The 15,370-nt window shown below is 40.5% G+C and overlaps 1 protein-coding gene and 2 long non-coding RNA genes across 4 annotated transcripts in view, besides 3 other annotated features; 2 read left to right on the top strand and 1 right to left on the bottom strand.

Moving 5' to 3' along the window:
• NPHP3-AS1 (NPHP3 antisense RNA 1) overlaps window positions 1-4,303 on the bottom strand; it is a 152,462-nt gene extending 148,159 nt beyond the window's left edge. For both annotated transcript variants that reach the window (NR_002811.2, NR_152743.1), the window contains exon 1: window positions 3,674-4,303. This is a non-coding gene — a long non-coding RNA (NPHP3 antisense RNA 1). The remainder of the gene's footprint in view (window positions 1-3,673) is intronic.
• Window positions 2,698-2,887: an enhancer, noted in NCBI's record as "active region_20540". NCBI's record gives its function as "activates an Ori minimal core promoter by ATAC-STARR-seq in GM12878 lymphoblastoid cells {active_cell/tissue: GM12878}" and the evidence as "EXISTENCE:reporter gene assay evidence [ECO:0000049][PMID:35858748]".
• Window positions 3,128-3,637: a silencer, noted in NCBI's record as "silent region_14744". NCBI's record gives its function as "represses an Ori minimal core promoter by ATAC-STARR-seq in GM12878 lymphoblastoid cells {active_cell/tissue: GM12878}" and the evidence as "EXISTENCE:reporter gene assay evidence [ECO:0000049][PMID:35858748]".
• The window catches only part of NPHP3-ACAD11 (NPHP3-ACAD11 readthrough (NMD candidate)), a 164,322-nt gene continuing 152,545 nt past the window's right edge, over window positions 3,594-15,370 (top strand). Inside the window, exons 1-6 of the long non-coding RNA NR_037804.1 lie at window positions 3,594-4,090; window positions 6,223-6,348; window positions 6,909-7,059; window positions 9,144-9,296; window positions 10,835-10,968; window positions 12,767-12,927. This is a non-coding gene — a long non-coding RNA (NPHP3-ACAD11 readthrough (NMD candidate)). The remainder of the gene's footprint in view (window positions 4,091-6,222; window positions 6,349-6,908; window positions 7,060-9,143; window positions 9,297-10,834; window positions 10,969-12,766; window positions 12,928-15,370) is intronic.
• Window positions 3,644-15,370, top strand: part of NPHP3 (nephrocystin 3) — a 41,801-nt gene continuing 30,074 nt past the window's right edge. Inside the window, exons 1-6 of the mRNA NM_153240.5 lie at window positions 3,644-4,090; window positions 6,223-6,348; window positions 6,909-7,059; window positions 9,144-9,296; window positions 10,835-10,968; window positions 12,767-12,927. Coding sequence (NP_694972.3) covers window positions 3,698-4,090; window positions 6,223-6,348; window positions 6,909-7,059; window positions 9,144-9,296; window positions 10,835-10,968; window positions 12,767-12,927 — 1,118 coding nt within the window. The 5' untranslated portion in view covers window positions 3,644-3,697. The remainder of the gene's footprint in view (window positions 4,091-6,222; window positions 6,349-6,908; window positions 7,060-9,143; window positions 9,297-10,834; window positions 10,969-12,766; window positions 12,928-15,370) is intronic.
• Window positions 3,738-3,987: a silencer, noted in NCBI's record as "silent region_14743". NCBI's record gives its function as "represses an Ori minimal core promoter by ATAC-STARR-seq in GM12878 lymphoblastoid cells {active_cell/tissue: GM12878}" and the evidence as "EXISTENCE:reporter gene assay evidence [ECO:0000049][PMID:35858748]".

Here is a 15,370-nt window from a genome sequence, read left to right as displayed (position 1 = left end):
CATGTTGGCAATAATGAGATGGCCGAGGTGAAACCATTGGTTTTTAACCTTGACTACTGATTAAAATCCGCTGGGGAGCTTTAAAAAATTAATGATGTTCAGACCTCAACTCCTGGAAATTCTGATCTAATTGGTCTAGGGTGAGGCCCAGGCAGCAGTCTTTATTTTTTTAAGTTCTCCAGGTGATGGTAATGTGCAGCCAAGGTTAAGAACCATTTTTCTACAGTAGTGCTTCTCAAATTTTAATCTATATTCACATCACCTGGGAGATCTTTTTAATCTGCAAATTGTGATTCAGGAGGTCAGTGATAGCATGTGAGAATCTGATTAACAAGCTTCAGGGTGATGTTGATGCTACTGCCTGAGGACCATGCTTTGAGTAGCGAGGAATTAGATCATCCCTAGCCACAATTTTTATGCAGTCTCAGTGTTCTGAGATCCTAAAGTACATAAGCATCACCTGGGAAGTAACTAAACATGCAAAATTGTCAAGGTCCCCAAATTTTTACCAAATGTCCCAAGTGATTGTGAGATTCATAGTCTGAAGACCAAATACACACTACTCTACCCAAATGATATTTATTCTACCAATCCCATTTAAAAAAAAATGGCAGGCCGGGTGCGGTGGCTCAGGCCTCTAATCCAGGACTTTGGGAGGCCAAGGTGGGTGGATCATGAGGTGAGGAGTTCAAGACCAGCCTGGCCAAGATGGTGAAACCCCGTCTCTACTAAAAATACAAAAAAATTAGCCGGGGGTGGTGGTGCACGCCTGTAATCCCAGCTACTCGGGAGGCTGAGGCAGAAGAATCGCTTGAACCCAGGAGGCAGAAGTTGCAGGGAGCCGAGATCGTGCCACTGCACTCCAGCCTGGGCGAGAGAGCGAGACTCCGTCTCAAAAAAAAAAAAAAGACAGTAGCATTGTTTATCAATTTATAGGCTGCCCGATCAAATGTAGAGACATTTTTTCTTATTCCAGGTGAAAAGACAAATTACCAAAATGTAATGGCTCAAACCAACAGTAATTTTATTATATCTCATGATTTTGTGGGCCAGAAATGTGGGCAGAGGTTGGCTGGGTGATTTTCTCCCCTGTAGTGTATACAGAAGTCACTTAATTTCTAAGTAGTGAATGCACTAGTCTGAAGAGTCCAAGATGGCTTCATTTTACATGTCTTGGTACTCTGGTTGGAAAGCTGGGCCCAGCTGAGACTGTCACCTGGAATGCCTACATATGACCTCTTAATTTGGGCAGTCTCAGGTTAGTAAGTCTTTACATGGTGGCTCAACACTCCCGAGTGTTCCAAGACACAAGAAGTGGAAGTCGCCATTCTCTCAAGACCTGGGCTTGGAAACTGGCACAGTGTCATTTCTGCCACATTCCACTGGTCCAAGCGGTCAGAGTTCACTCAGGTTCAAAGTGAGGAGTCATATACAGGCTTGCTTCATGGCCATGCAACCCCATGTGCAGTAACGCAGGGCCCAAAACTCAAAAGGGCCCCATACTTGGCTTAATGCTCTGCTGTAGCCATCTTGAAAATATTTATAATTTTTGAATAAGGGGCATTACATATTCATTTTTCACTGGGTCCCACAAATTGTGTAGCTGTCTTAGCTGTCTTTTCTATGGGAGGACTATTAAAAAAAAATGTGGCCATCTTTAGTAAGTTATAAGCCACCTGCCAAATATTTTATTCTCACTATATTTCTGTATTAAAAGTTATTCTTTCAAAATGCAGACTGAAGTACGTGGGTTAAATTCAGCATGAAGAAAAACAGGTTATGAGGTTAGAAATAATGTCTTTTTTTTTTTTTTAAAGACGTAGTCTCGCTCTGTCGCCCAGGCTGGAGTGCAGTGGCGCCATCTCGGCTGCAAGCTTCGCCTCCCAGGTTCACGCCATTCTGCTGCCTCAGCCTCCCGAGTAGCTGGGACTACAGGCGCCTGCCACCACGCCTGGCTAATTTTTTTGTATTTTTAGTAGAGACGGGGTTTCACCGTGTTAGCCAGGAAGAAATAATGTCATTTTTTAGGATTAAGAAATTTGGTCACTTTGGCATTGACCAATAGTAATCTAAGATCAGTACGCAAGTAGGGTGGAGAAATGTGGATTAGAGGCATGTCACTGGATAGAAATGACGTGGGGAAAGGAGAGATGCATGCTTCAGAGCACTCAGTTCCAGACTGTAGAATCTGAATGTACTCCCCAAGCTGTAGGAAGTTAGCATAGTGAGTTTGGTTATTTGTTGGAGAGAATGGGTGATGGCTATTTTATCTTCTTACTCAAGCATAGTTATGGAAGTGTTCAGCTGAGGCCCATTCCAAAGGAGGTACTAAGATGCAAAAATGTTCAAAGGGTTTAGTCAGAAACCTAGTGGATGATCCTTAAACCCCTGATCCACATGGAGAATTCAAAAATTTGAAGTTAGAAATCAGAACGGATTTGAAAAGGTAGAAAGTTCTTAAGGTACTGTGATGGTGGAAATATTTCCCTTTATCTCAGGAGACCACCTGAAGAAATTAGTATATACACTCTGGATTTTGAAGAATGCAAAGGCCTAGTATGACTACTTCCTGAAGAAAATCTAAAGGGTAAGAGAAGAGATGACTAGCCACTTTGATGGAGGGAATGAAGGAGAGACTGGTGTGCGGTCTCCAATGTCCCATGCCGCAATGAGTTAAAAAACTTAACCTTGTCTAAGGATTGTCCCTGGTGGTTTCAGACTGTAAAATCTAAAAGCTCTTTCTTTGCTGGCATTATTCCTTGCTGGTCATTCTATCTACATGCATACTGAGAGAGAGATATCGCGGGAAGCACATAGCAGGCACTCCATAAATTTTTCAGATTTCCCAACTGCTTCCAGAAAGGAGTTTCCGGTCAGGCACGGCGGCAGCGAAAGAAATAGCTGCAGCGTTTGTAGAGCAGCTGGGACCCAGGCCTGTGCTCCCTGTGAGGCACGCCCGCCAGGGAGCCTCGAGCCGGGCGGAGACAACGGAGAGAAGCCCTATGTCGGAGCACCACTCCACCAGCGTTCGGAGCACCCCTCCACCAGCGTCCGGTCCACTGCTGGTCCTGCACAGTCGCCACTCCCCCCATCCTTCCTGCTAGCCCCGCCCTTCTTGCTAGCCCGCCTGGCCCTGTGTGCTTTCTCGACCCACCCCCGTTTGCCCTGCCCCGCCCACATGCCCCGCCCCACTTGCCCGGCCCCTCTTGTTGTCCCGCCTAGCCCTGCTGCCCCGCCCCGTCCCCCTCGCCCATCCCCCCAGTTCCGCTGCCCCGTCCCGTTCCGCTGCCCCGCCCCTCCAGTTGCCCCACCCCCTTCCGCTCTCCCTCCCCGCCCCGTTCCGCTGCCTCGCCTCGTCCGGCTCTCCGGCCCCGCCCCGCCCCGTTCCGCTGCCCCGCCCCGTCCTGCTCCCCCGCCCCGTCCTGCACCCCCGCCCCGCCCAGTTCTGCTGCCCCGCCCCTCCTGTTTCCCCGCCCCATCCCGCTCCCCCGCCTCGCCCCGTTCCGCTGCTCCGCCCCGTCCCGCTGCTCCGCCCAGTCCTGCTCTCCGGCCCCGCTCCATCCCGCTGGCCCGCCCCGTCCCGTTCCGTTCCTCTGCCCCGCCCCGTCCCGTTCCGTTCCTCTGCCCCACCCCGTCCCGTTCCGTTCCGCTGCCCAGTCCTGCTGGTACTCACTAGGTAGTAGCGGCAACGGACGCCATGGGGACCGCCTCGTCGCTCGTGAGCCCCGCGGGCGGGGAAGTGATCGAGGACACGTACGGGGCGGGCGGCGGCGAGGCCTGCGAGATCCCGGTGGAGGTGAAGCCCAAGGCCCGCCTGCTGCGCAACTCGTTCCGCCGAGGCGCGGGGGCGGCAGCAGGGGCCGGGCCCGGGTCGCTGCCCCGCGGGGTGGGCGCGGGCGGGCTGCTGGGGGCCAGCTTCAAGTCCACTGGCTCGTCGGTGCCAGAGCTGGAGTACGCGGCGGCCGAGTACGAGCGGCTCAGGAAGGAGTACGAGATCTTTCGCGTCAGCAAGAACCAGGAGTTGTTGTCCATGGGCCGCCGCGAGGCCAAGCTGGACACGGAGAACAAGCGGCTGCGGGCCGAACTGCAGGTAACGCCGGGCTGGGCCGCGACGCCGGGAGACCCTTGGGAAGCACGGCCGTCCTGCTCCCTCTCCAAACCAAGCGGCTTTGAAAGTTCGGCGGAAACTGCCCATTTTAATTTGAGAGGCCATATTCTCTTCGAGTCTGAAATGATTCCTTAACCCTCCCCTTTTTCTGTCTCTTTTTTTGGAGACAGGGTCTCGCTGCGGTGGCACGATCGCGGCTCACTGCAACCTGGAACTCCTGGGCTCAATGATCCTCCCGCCTCGGCCTCCTAAAGTTCTGGGATTACAGGAGTGAGCCACCGCGCCTGGTCCCCGCTTTTCTATTTCTGGTTTATTCATTGAGGCACCTAGAAGAAATTAGCCGGAAAGTGTCCTGAGGAGGCAAATGCCAATCTCCAGCTCCACTGCCGCCCCCGCGCCCACCCCCTCAGAAGGCTGGTGACATCTGTTGAAGCAACTCAGCAAACTCTTCCTAGGAGTTTCACCCCCCTCCCCACCATAAAAATTTTAAGTGGGTCTCCAAAGTGGGGCTCAAGTGTCGGTTTCTTTGTAAAGTTTCATCGCTCTTGCATTTTAATGGTCTTGACATGAAAATTTCTGGAAGCCTCCTGATCTCACCATGGTTGAAAACCTTCTCTAGATGTAGTCAAATTTCCCTAGTCCATTTGATTAATTTACGCTAAAAGCAATTATTGCATGCCCTCCATGTAGCAGGTCCATTATAATTCAATAAAATAGTATGTAAAGCAGCCGGGCGTGGTGGCTCACGCCTGTAATCCCAACACTTTTCGAGGCCTAGGCGGACGGATCACCTGAGGTCAGGAGTTCGAGATCAGCCTGGCCAACATGGTGAAACCCCGTCTCTACTAAAAATACAAAAATTAGCCGGGCATGGTGGCACGCGCCTGTAATCCCAGCTACTCAGGAGGCTGAGGCAAGAGAATTGCTTGAACCCGGGAGGCGGAGGTTGCAGTGAGCCGAGATTGCACCATTGCACTCCAGCTTGGGTGACAGAGCGAGACTCCGTATCAAAAAAAAAAAAATAGTATAAAGCAAGAGGTTGCTTTTCTGTGAACGAATCTCTAAAACTTTTTGCCCTCAGTTTGGGGCCCCTCTGGTCGTTGTTGTGTCGTTTGTGTACTCTTTACTGTGGGAGAGACTTATAGGCAGCCTAAGAGTTCCCGGAGTCGTTACAGTCGGGGTGAAATAAATACCTCAGACTGATTTTTCTAAAAGAAAAAAAGCCTCCTGTCTTCAAGACTAGACATTCTTCTAGTCAGGTTTTGTTGTTGTTGTTGTTGTTGTTTTTGTTTTTAAACTCCCTCATTAGCTGTTGTGTAATTATTGTCGTTGTCTGGGAAGAAGTCCGTGTAGCAGTTTATCTGTTGTCTTATCAGTTTTCCTACTGGGCAACCTTAATGCACTTGCATGTATAAAATGGACTAGTGCATTTCAAATATCTGATTCAATGTATCCAAGCCACTGCCCAACAGACACCGCACGTTGGAAACAACTGTGAGGTGGGGGTAGAAAAGGCCAAACCAAACAGGGCGGAGTGCAATAAGGGTTGGCAAGTGTCACAGTCACTCATGTCACCAATCCTGATTCCCTGTGAAACATACTGGTTCCTTTCTCACATATCGAGGCATGAAAAAACTTATCCATATTTATTTCATTCATTGTGTCAGACATTTACTGGAGACTTGCAGTGTACCAGGCACTGTGAAGTGCTCAAGGGATGGTGAGATGAATAAGACATAGTGCCAACAGGCACACAGTCTCTTAGAACTACTTATCCTTCAAGTTAAGCCTTACAAAATGTAATTTTTACTATCACAAAGATGGAAAAGGCATAAGGAAGTTTAAGAGCTGATGCAGTGTTTCAAAAAAAGTTAATTTCCATTGAAAGCTTAATGTTGGTCTTTATTTGTGGTAGTTCAAGCATGGTTGCGGTTTTTTTCCATCATGTTTTGAATAAAATGGCAACATGAAGTTCCTGATAATTGGTAAAATAATAAGTAGACTTAAAATTCTAAGATACGTAACATATATATATATATATGTATATATATAAGAATGTAAAATTGAGGAGCAAGACTATTTTTGTTAGGAAATAACAAGGTAAATTATTCTAGGCACTTCAAAAAACGTATCAGAAGATACTTCGAGAAAAAGAAAGTGCTTTAGAAGCGAAATACCAAGCAATGGAGAGAGCAGCAACATTTGAACATGACAGAGATAAAGTTAAAAGGCAATTCAAGGTAAATTCCTTACATTTTTACCCCCAAAGCAACATAGAATAAAATAGTATATTCTAAAAGTATATATAATATATAATGCGATGAATAAATAGAAGTAAGTCATGTAGGATTCAGGAAAGTTGTAAGAATTAGTGTAGAGCACTTTCACATTTTTGAGTTGGACGTGGTAAACTTGAGATCATTTCAAAGAAAAACGTATGAAAGTGAACATTTTAATAGTAATTTCGAAAAAAAGGAAAGCGTTTCCATATGGGGAAAAGCATTTGGAAATGTTTAGGGATGTTGTATTATTGGTATTTAGTGGGAGAGAGACAAATTTCCTAAACATCATGCAGTGCACATGACAGACCCACACCACAGACACGCATCCTGCTGGAATTCCAGTGGCTTCCAGTTGCAAAACAGTAAGGTAAAGGTACTAGGACATTCACCCTATGAAAGAGGAAATCGAGGACCAAATGAATATTGGTTTTATGAATGAAATATTTTTCCCTTAAAGTTGATGACACAACTTTTTGATTATGAAAAAGCTTTCAACATTAAAATTATTCTTTTTAAAGATTTTTAGGGAGACCAAAGAAAATGAAATTCAGGACTTACTGAGGGCCAAGAGGGAGTTGGAGAGCAAACTTCAGAGGCTACAGGCTCAGGGTATCCAAGTATTTGATCCTGGGGAGTCTGATTCAGATGACAACTGTACAGATGTCACTGGTAAGTGTATATCCTATTTATATTTTGAGCTTTCAACATGGCTGTAATGACATGTAGAGCCAACTTTGAATTCTGCTAGATTTCTTTTACTTATCTATATTAGGTTATTGCTTTAACTACTGTTGCAAATAGTGTCGTGTGTTCTCTCTGTCAGCTGCTAAGACACCTCTTCTCCACGAAGTGTATGAATTTGGGGACTGAAGTTCCTTCTACCTTGTCACTCTGCCAACCCTAACCCATAACTTTTACTCTCTAGTCTAAGATATCTACCCCAGCTCCCACCAGCACATCTGCATTTTAGCCAAGGGAAAGAAGGAAGGGGAGAACACGTTCCTTTCCCAGAAGGTACAACCTAAGATCACTTCTCAAATCCCATTAGTCAGAACTATAACTGGGAAGACTGGATAGTGTAATCAGCAGCCAGGCAGACATGTGTCCAACTAAAATGTAGTGTTCTGTTACTGAAGAAAGAAGAGGAGAATGGATATTGGAGTTACTAGTCTCTGCAATGTTATTTCTTTACATAATGATGTATTCTTTGCAACTATCATTTAGAATACTTGCCTTATAGTTCACTGAGTGGTTTCCAGTATAGCCTTGTGAACTATTCAAAAAGTATTTGTTTTATAATTAAACAAATGAAACATGTTTTCTGGAAATAAAAGCTTGAAATCACAGAGTGAAAGGGTTTACATATTCTAAGAAAATGTTAAAGTGTGATTGATACTGAAAAAAGAAAAATATTCTATTTTAAAATGCAGTGGAAAAATGTAGTCACTCTCCCATTTGTAATGAACTGTAAGTATATTCTCACAAATGGATGCATTTTGGAGTAAAATATGGTAACTGACAGTTCCTTCTTAATTTTCATTGTAGTATCATTGGAATCTGACCAACATCCTGGAATTTTTATTGCTAACTTTTAAGGAAAAAAAATGAAGGCCGGGCACGGTGGCTTATGCCTGTAATACCAGCACTTTGGGAGGCCAAGGCGGGCGGATCACGAGGTCAAAAGATCAAGACCATCCTGGCCAACATGGTGAAACCCCGTCTCTACTAAATACAAAAATTAGCTGGGCATGGTGGTGCGTGCCTGTAGTCCCAGCTACTCGGGAGGCTGAGGCAGGAAAATCACTTGAACCCAGGAGGTGGAGGTTGCAGTGAGCCAAGATCGCGCCACCGCACTCCAGTGTGGCAACAGAGCCAGACTCATCTCAAAAAAAAAAAAAAAAAAAAAAAAAGATTCTTAATGGCCAAGAGTAGCTGAGAAAATGCTCTTTTATACCCCAACACAAGTCTTAGTGATTATTTCAGTATTGACATACTCAAATGTACAGTGTTTCAAAACTATTGTAATTGTCTTGGCAAGTTAGAAACAAATTCCTTTCTAGGTCTTTTTTCATTTTTGTTTTAAACATGAAGAAGGAACACTTGAGGGGGAATGTCACCCATGTGAGATTCAAAGAGCTACAAATAGTAAGCTCAGTTTTGCCAGAGATTTAGCTCAAATAACCATTTACTTAAGGTTATCAAGGATGTAGATATTCTGACAAATATAATTGATTAGAAAATCATCATGTTCATAAGTAGCTATTGATTCAGACATTAATTTTGTTGCTCTAGGAGGTTGAGAAGGAGGTACTTCCTGCTGCAAAGAGTTTATGTCCTAATAAATTATGAATATTTTTATATTTATGTGTGTTAGTAACAGTCTGCCTTTGAGGTTTTTTCCTTCAGATTTTAACTGGTGTCTAAGCTGTACAGTTGGAAATGTTTTTTAGAATTTTTTTTTGTAAAATGTTTTTAACTTCCTTCTTATTATGATTTCTTTTTTATTGTATTCTTGTTTATTTTCATCTTTCTCTTTTTAATCCTCTCTTTGAATTTGAGATGATAACCAGAATTATGTTAATCAGTATCTTTGAACTTTGCCAAAAGTCGATGGCAAAGTATTTTCAAAATCATTTGAATATTTGTAATATTTTCATATTTTTTAAAATCAGCAATCCTGTTCGGTATATGTGATGAGTTTTTGAACATTCAATAAGTTGGCTTTCACAAGATAAAAATCTCTTGCTGAACAGCTGCTGGAACCCAATGTGAATATTGGACTGGCGGAGCCTTGGGAAGTGAACCTTCCATAGGAAGCATGATCCAGCTTCAGCAGTCCTTCAGAGGCCCTGAGTTTGCCCATAGTTCTATAGATGTGGAAGGACCCTTTGCAAATGTTAATAGAGGTAATACATGCTGTTTGTCAATTACTTGCCTAGTGGTAGTGACTGTTCATGTTTTATAATCTTGTGCTGGAACTATTAATACCATTAGCAAAGCATGAAATTTGTGTTCCTAGTGCTTTCCATTGACAAACCATCATACAGTGGGGCTGTAACTAACAAGGAAGGATGAGGTTGCATAATTCATATGGTGATCAGATGGTACTCCTGCCAACCTGGCCAGCCAGGTTCTAGTAACTGTGTTATGGTCTGAATTCTCTGGTGTTTTAGTTGAGCAGCAAATCTAATGTAGATTAATTGAAAAACAGTAGGTTTTAATCTTTCCCTCTGCTTCTTTGATAGTGTTGAAGATTAGAGCAGGTTATGGAGATAATACCAAAAAGCTCTATTAGGTAATATAGTACAGTTTTCCTTCTATATCCACAGATCCACTCAACCACTGATCAAAAATATTTGGAAAAATAACAATGAAAATAACAATGCAACAATAAAAATAGAAATAAGAAACAATACAGTATAACAACTATTTATATAGTATTTACATTGCATGAGGTATTGTAAATAACTAGAGATTATTTAAAGCAGGGGTATCCAATCTTTTAGCTTCCCTGGCCCACATTGAAAGAAGAATTGTCTTTGGCCACAAATAAAATATACTAACACTAATGATAGTTGATGAGCTAAAAAAAATTGATAAGAAGTCTTACAATGTTGTGTTGGGCTGCAAAGCCATCCTGGGCCACAGATTGGAGAAGCTTGATTTAAAGAATATGGGAGGATGTGCGTAATTTATATGCAAACACCACATGATTTTATGTAAGGGACCTGAGCATCTGTGGATTTGGTATGTGAGGGGAAGTGCTGGTACCAATCCTCCATTGATACCAAGGGACAACTGTATTCATATCCAAAAGAATATTTTCCTTATTTTTATATAACATAGTGTCCAGAATAGCTCTAAGATCTGTTCAGAATTTCAATATCAGTGCAGACCTAAGAAGTTATAAGTAGTTCTACTCTTTTTCCTTAAAACCCTACAATTATTTCTCTATCAGCAAAATGAAAATCATTTTTAAAATTGTGCTTTTTGAACTAGCCAAATATGTGTTAAATTTTTACTCTCACTAAATATAGTTAGCATAAGGCTACTTTTCATTTTATGCCATTCTTGAACATTCTTTTAACTCAATATATTTCAAGAATAATAAGAAAGTAAAGCTATAAATCCTCTTGGGAATGTAGGCTAACTTCAGGTAACCAACTAATTGAGTAACTCATGTAAAATTTTTTCATGACACTTGACTGGAACCACTGGTGCCTCAGGGAAGACCACTGGTGACATTCATTGCTTCAAGTCCTAGGATAGAATTTGAGTTTAGAAAACTAATTGCCTTTGAATATATTACTCTAGAAGGTATGGCAGTATTAACATGTAAGATCAGATTCCATTCTATGATGCCTGTTATGTTTTTAAAACTTTTTTAGAATGATCAAATGTGTTCTGGTAATTTTTTCATGAACTTGAGAAATTTTATTTTCAGATGACTGGGATATTGCTGTAGCTAGTTTATTACAAGTTACTCCTCTGTTTTCACATTCTCTGTGGAGTAACACTGTCAGATGTTACCTCATTTATACAGATGAAACCCAGCCTGAGATGGATCTTTTCCTTAAGGTGAGGATATTTATAAATTCTGTATCAACCAATTTAAAATATAAGTTAATATTATATTCTGTTTCTGATACTACTGTATCTCAACCAAATAGTTTCCTACTAGATTATATGTCTTAAAGAACAGGAAGCGTCTTGGGCTTTTCTTAAGAGAAAATATTGTTCAATATTATATGTAAAGAAAGGTGGTGAATTGAGAGTTTATTTATTTATTTTTACTTTCTGGAATTAACTTTCCTAGGACAGGAGCTAAGACAGAAAAAGAAGGTTTTAACTCGTTTTAGTTAGTTTTAAATGTCAAACTAAGGTGTTGGAACTTTCTGGACTTTTTTTTGTTTGTGTGTTTGTTTGCTTGTTTTGAGACAGTGTCTTGCTCTGTTGCCTGGGCTGGAGGGCAGTGGCACAGTCATAGCTCACTGTAGCCTAAAACTCGTGAGCTCAAGCAATCTTCCCACTCAGTCCTCCAGAACAGCTAGGACTACAGGTACACACCACCACATACGGCTAATTTAATTTATTTATTTTTTTTTTTTGCAGAGAAAGTGACTCATTGTGTTGCCTAGGCTTGTTTAGTGAATTTTTCATTGCATATTCTCCACAATGTTTAAGACTCTTGTTGATTGTGTCTACTTTAGTTACTCTCTCTTCCAGCTCTATCCTTGAGTCTGTCTCAGGTAGTAAAATTTTCTCCTTACTGTGGTTTAAATTTTCCAAGGCAGCCGTTGGAGTTATTCTAAGGCAAGGGTCACTATAGCCAGTTGGTGAAATCTGGCCTGCTGCCTGTTTTAAATGGCCCAGAGATAAGATTGGTTTTCACATTTTAAGTGGTAGAAAAAAATCAAAAGGAGAATAATATTTTATGACATGTGGAAATTATATGAAATACAAATCTTAGTGTCTATCAAGTTTTATTAGAACATTGCTGCACTCATTCGTTTACGTATCATCCATGGCAGCACTACAACACCAATTCAATGGCAGAGTAAATTGTGATAGAAACCAAATAAGCCACAAAGATCCCTGCTAAAGCAGCCAAGTTGTAAAGCTATTATTATTTTTGTAGACATATTTGCTATCTAACCCTTTATATAAAAAGCTTGCCTACCAGTGTTCCAAGGGAATTTTATAGAATCTGTGTGTCACATGCTATACCTGCTATATTAACATCTTCCCTGTTGTTGATTACCAAATTCATTTAGCTTTCCTTTGTGATATTATTCAATTTTAGTAAAAAGATAAAATATTTTAAAGCCCAAAGCTTCCATCCAGTAATTGAAAATGTTATTCCCAACGACATTTTGAGGGCATTACTGATTTCTTTCATAATAATAGTCATCATTACTTACTAACTTAATTATAGATTTATGTGTTTTTAACTTATATCGCTCTGCTTTAGCGTTCTGATATATCATCGTGGATGTTTTTTACTATACAGATTTATGGATCTATATTTTGCACTCTTTATGACAATAAAACAGATTGTTCATAGTAATAATAACAAAAAGAAACAAATACCAAAGCAAAATAGCCTAATACTGTCTCCTGTTGTTCTAGCTTTACTATGAAATAAGTCATTTTCTGAGCTAGAAAAAGGCCAAGTTGCTAAGCTATTATTATTTGTATTTGAGAGAAACTTGCCTTTTTAAGATTTTCTTTAAAATGTGATTATTTTTAAAATTTTATATGAAAAGATATCCAGTATAACCTGTTTTAAAGCGTGCTTTTTATTTTAAGTAGTATGAATCTCACTTGATCTTTAGTTAAATACATTAAACTTTTGTATGTTTTCATTTGTTTTTAGGACTATTCACCTAAACTTAAGAGAATGTGCGAGACAATGGGATATTTTTTCCATGCTGTTTATTTTCCAATAGATGTTGAAAATCAATACCTCACTGTAAGAAAATGGGAAATTGAGAAAAGTTCTTTAGTTATTTTATTTATTCACTTAACATTACCAAGGTAAGCTGAAAAAAAATGTAATTTATTATAAGCAGTAAACTGTAAATAGAATTGAGTTTGCCAAATAAGCTTCAAAGATAAATTTTATTGCATCCTTATAATAAAAAAATCCATGAAATTCAATAAATTCTACAACTGTTTCACACTTAAATAAAATAATTAAAAGTTTTAAGCTGTTAGACTTGTTTCATAGGTCATATGATCAACACCTTAATTTTTAGCTTATTTTAATCAGAGTTTGGCAAATATAGCCCAAGGGCCAAATCTAGCCAGGAGTTTGCTTTTGTAAATAAAGTTTTATTGGAACACAGCCACATTCATTCATTCATATATATATAAATTTTTTTTTCTTTTTTTTTTGAGACAGAGTCTTGCTCTGTCGTCCAGGCTGGAGTGCAGTGGCGCAATCTCGGCTCACTGCAAGCTCCACCTCCCAGGTTCACACCATTCTCCTGCCTCAGCCTCCTGAGTAGCTGGGACTATAGGCGCCCACCACCACGCCTGGCTAATTTTTTGTATTTTTGGTAGAGATGGGGTTTCACTGTGCTAGCCAGGATGGTCTCAATCTCCTAACCTTGTGATCCCCCTGCCTTGGCCTCCCAAAGTGCTGGGATTACAGGCGTAGGCCAACACACCTGGCCCATTCGTGTATTTTCTACAGCTGCCTTCATACTATAATAGCAAAGTTGAATCTTTACAACAGAAACCATGTGTCCTACAAAACCTGAGTTGTTTACTATCTGGCCTTTTACAGAAAAAGTTGATAACCCCTAATTTCAATAATCAACATTAACCTTCATTCTTTTCTTTCTTTGGATACAAACTGAGAGGTATTTGAACTATGTATTTTACATATAAAGTTCATGTACTTGATCACTTGTGTAGGTGTTGAATCATAATTTACATTTTTTGAGGAGCTTACTATTTAAATAGACCCAGTAAAGTGAACAATGTTCTTATAATGTGAATATAATCATGCTAATGAATCTTGTCTGCAAGTAAAGATTTTTTTTCACCAGTTAGATATAGAGATAAAGGACAAAATAAGTTTAATAAGAGGCTAATTTTTCTTTCTAGATTTACTGTCTAAATTTAACCTTTCCAAAGCATTTTGCTTTTTTAATTGTGGACCAACTCTGACTTTAACTGTGTATAGATATATGTAAGGCCTTAAGTTTCACCAGTTTCCCTGTAGCATAACCCATTGTAGACCCTTAAGACTTTGCCTAGTGGCCGGGTGAACAGGGAACTACCTGGTCAATGAGCCTTCATCCAGAATATGTTTAAGGAGTTCTTCAACTTGATTGCCTTCAGTAGGGTTTCATTGCTATCCACCCCTTCCCTTTTCTTTCCCTGTTTTTATATTTATTAAGGATATATCTTATCTTATTACTTAATGATTGAGTAGTTTTTTTATCTTACTTGGTAATATGTTATTTGTTGTTACATTATTTTTTCTAATTCTTATCTTTGATCCATAAAACCATTTTGTTTTTTCTTTACATTAAAGAAACTTTCTGGGTGACAGAGTATGACCCTGTCTCAAAAACAAACAAACAAAAACCTTACTTTTTAATAAAACATTGTATACATTATTCTTACACTTTAACATTTATTTTTCTTTTCCAATTTTAAACTCTTCTTAATGTTTTCCTCCCCATTTATTTCATATTTTATTACTTTTGCTTAGATTTCAGTTTATCCCCTTTTAGTAAAATTTTATATTGTACATTTTTAAAAATTTTATTCTTATTAAAGAAATGAGGATTTTAATTTCTTAAATTTAATAATTTTAGTCTCTACTTTGGCTTTATTTTACTTAAACTTTTCTTATTCCAGTTGCTTATTATTTTATTATTTGTTTCTTTCATGCCTGTCAAGAGGTATGGCAGTGGGGATGGGCTCCACACCACAAACAAGGGCTGTTGGAGCCTTTGTTTCAGATTTTTCCTTCGCCTACCCTGATGACTACCCCATCCTTCCCAAAAGATGAATCTAGAAAAGCCTCTCCTGAGCAGCTTGGAAGCTCCATGGGGAAACACTTTCCTGTCAATAATTATTCCCTGTGTGCAGATGGTATCCACAGAGTTATTTGAAGATAGTGTTCACTGGCTTCTCACACTATTCAGGCCTCTTATAAGAAATTATGAAGCTCAAAATGTATGGTTTTGATGTATGAAATGATTGGATTTGGAGCAAGCTATGCTAACAACATACTTAGTTGTAGGCTGGGAAGGTAGGCAGGAAGTCATGCTTAGTGAGGTGCACAGGCACTGTGCCTCTCGGTGTTACTGACTGGAGAAGGTGCATTAGAGGGAAACGGCCAGGCTCCTGCACTGCTTTTCCAGGGGTTCTTCTTTAATGCCTTTAATTTGACCAGCCTCACTTCATGGAAGGAGAAAAATCCCGGGAGAAATCTCCTACAACGAAGAATGGGAACTGA

Source organism: Homo sapiens, chromosome 3, assembly GCF_000001405.40.
Source record: "Homo sapiens chromosome 3, GRCh38.p14 Primary Assembly".
NCBI classification, from domain to species: Eukaryota; Metazoa; Chordata; class Mammalia; order Primates; family Hominidae; genus Homo; species Homo sapiens.
This window is presented reverse-complemented; position numbering and strand designations above follow the sequence as displayed.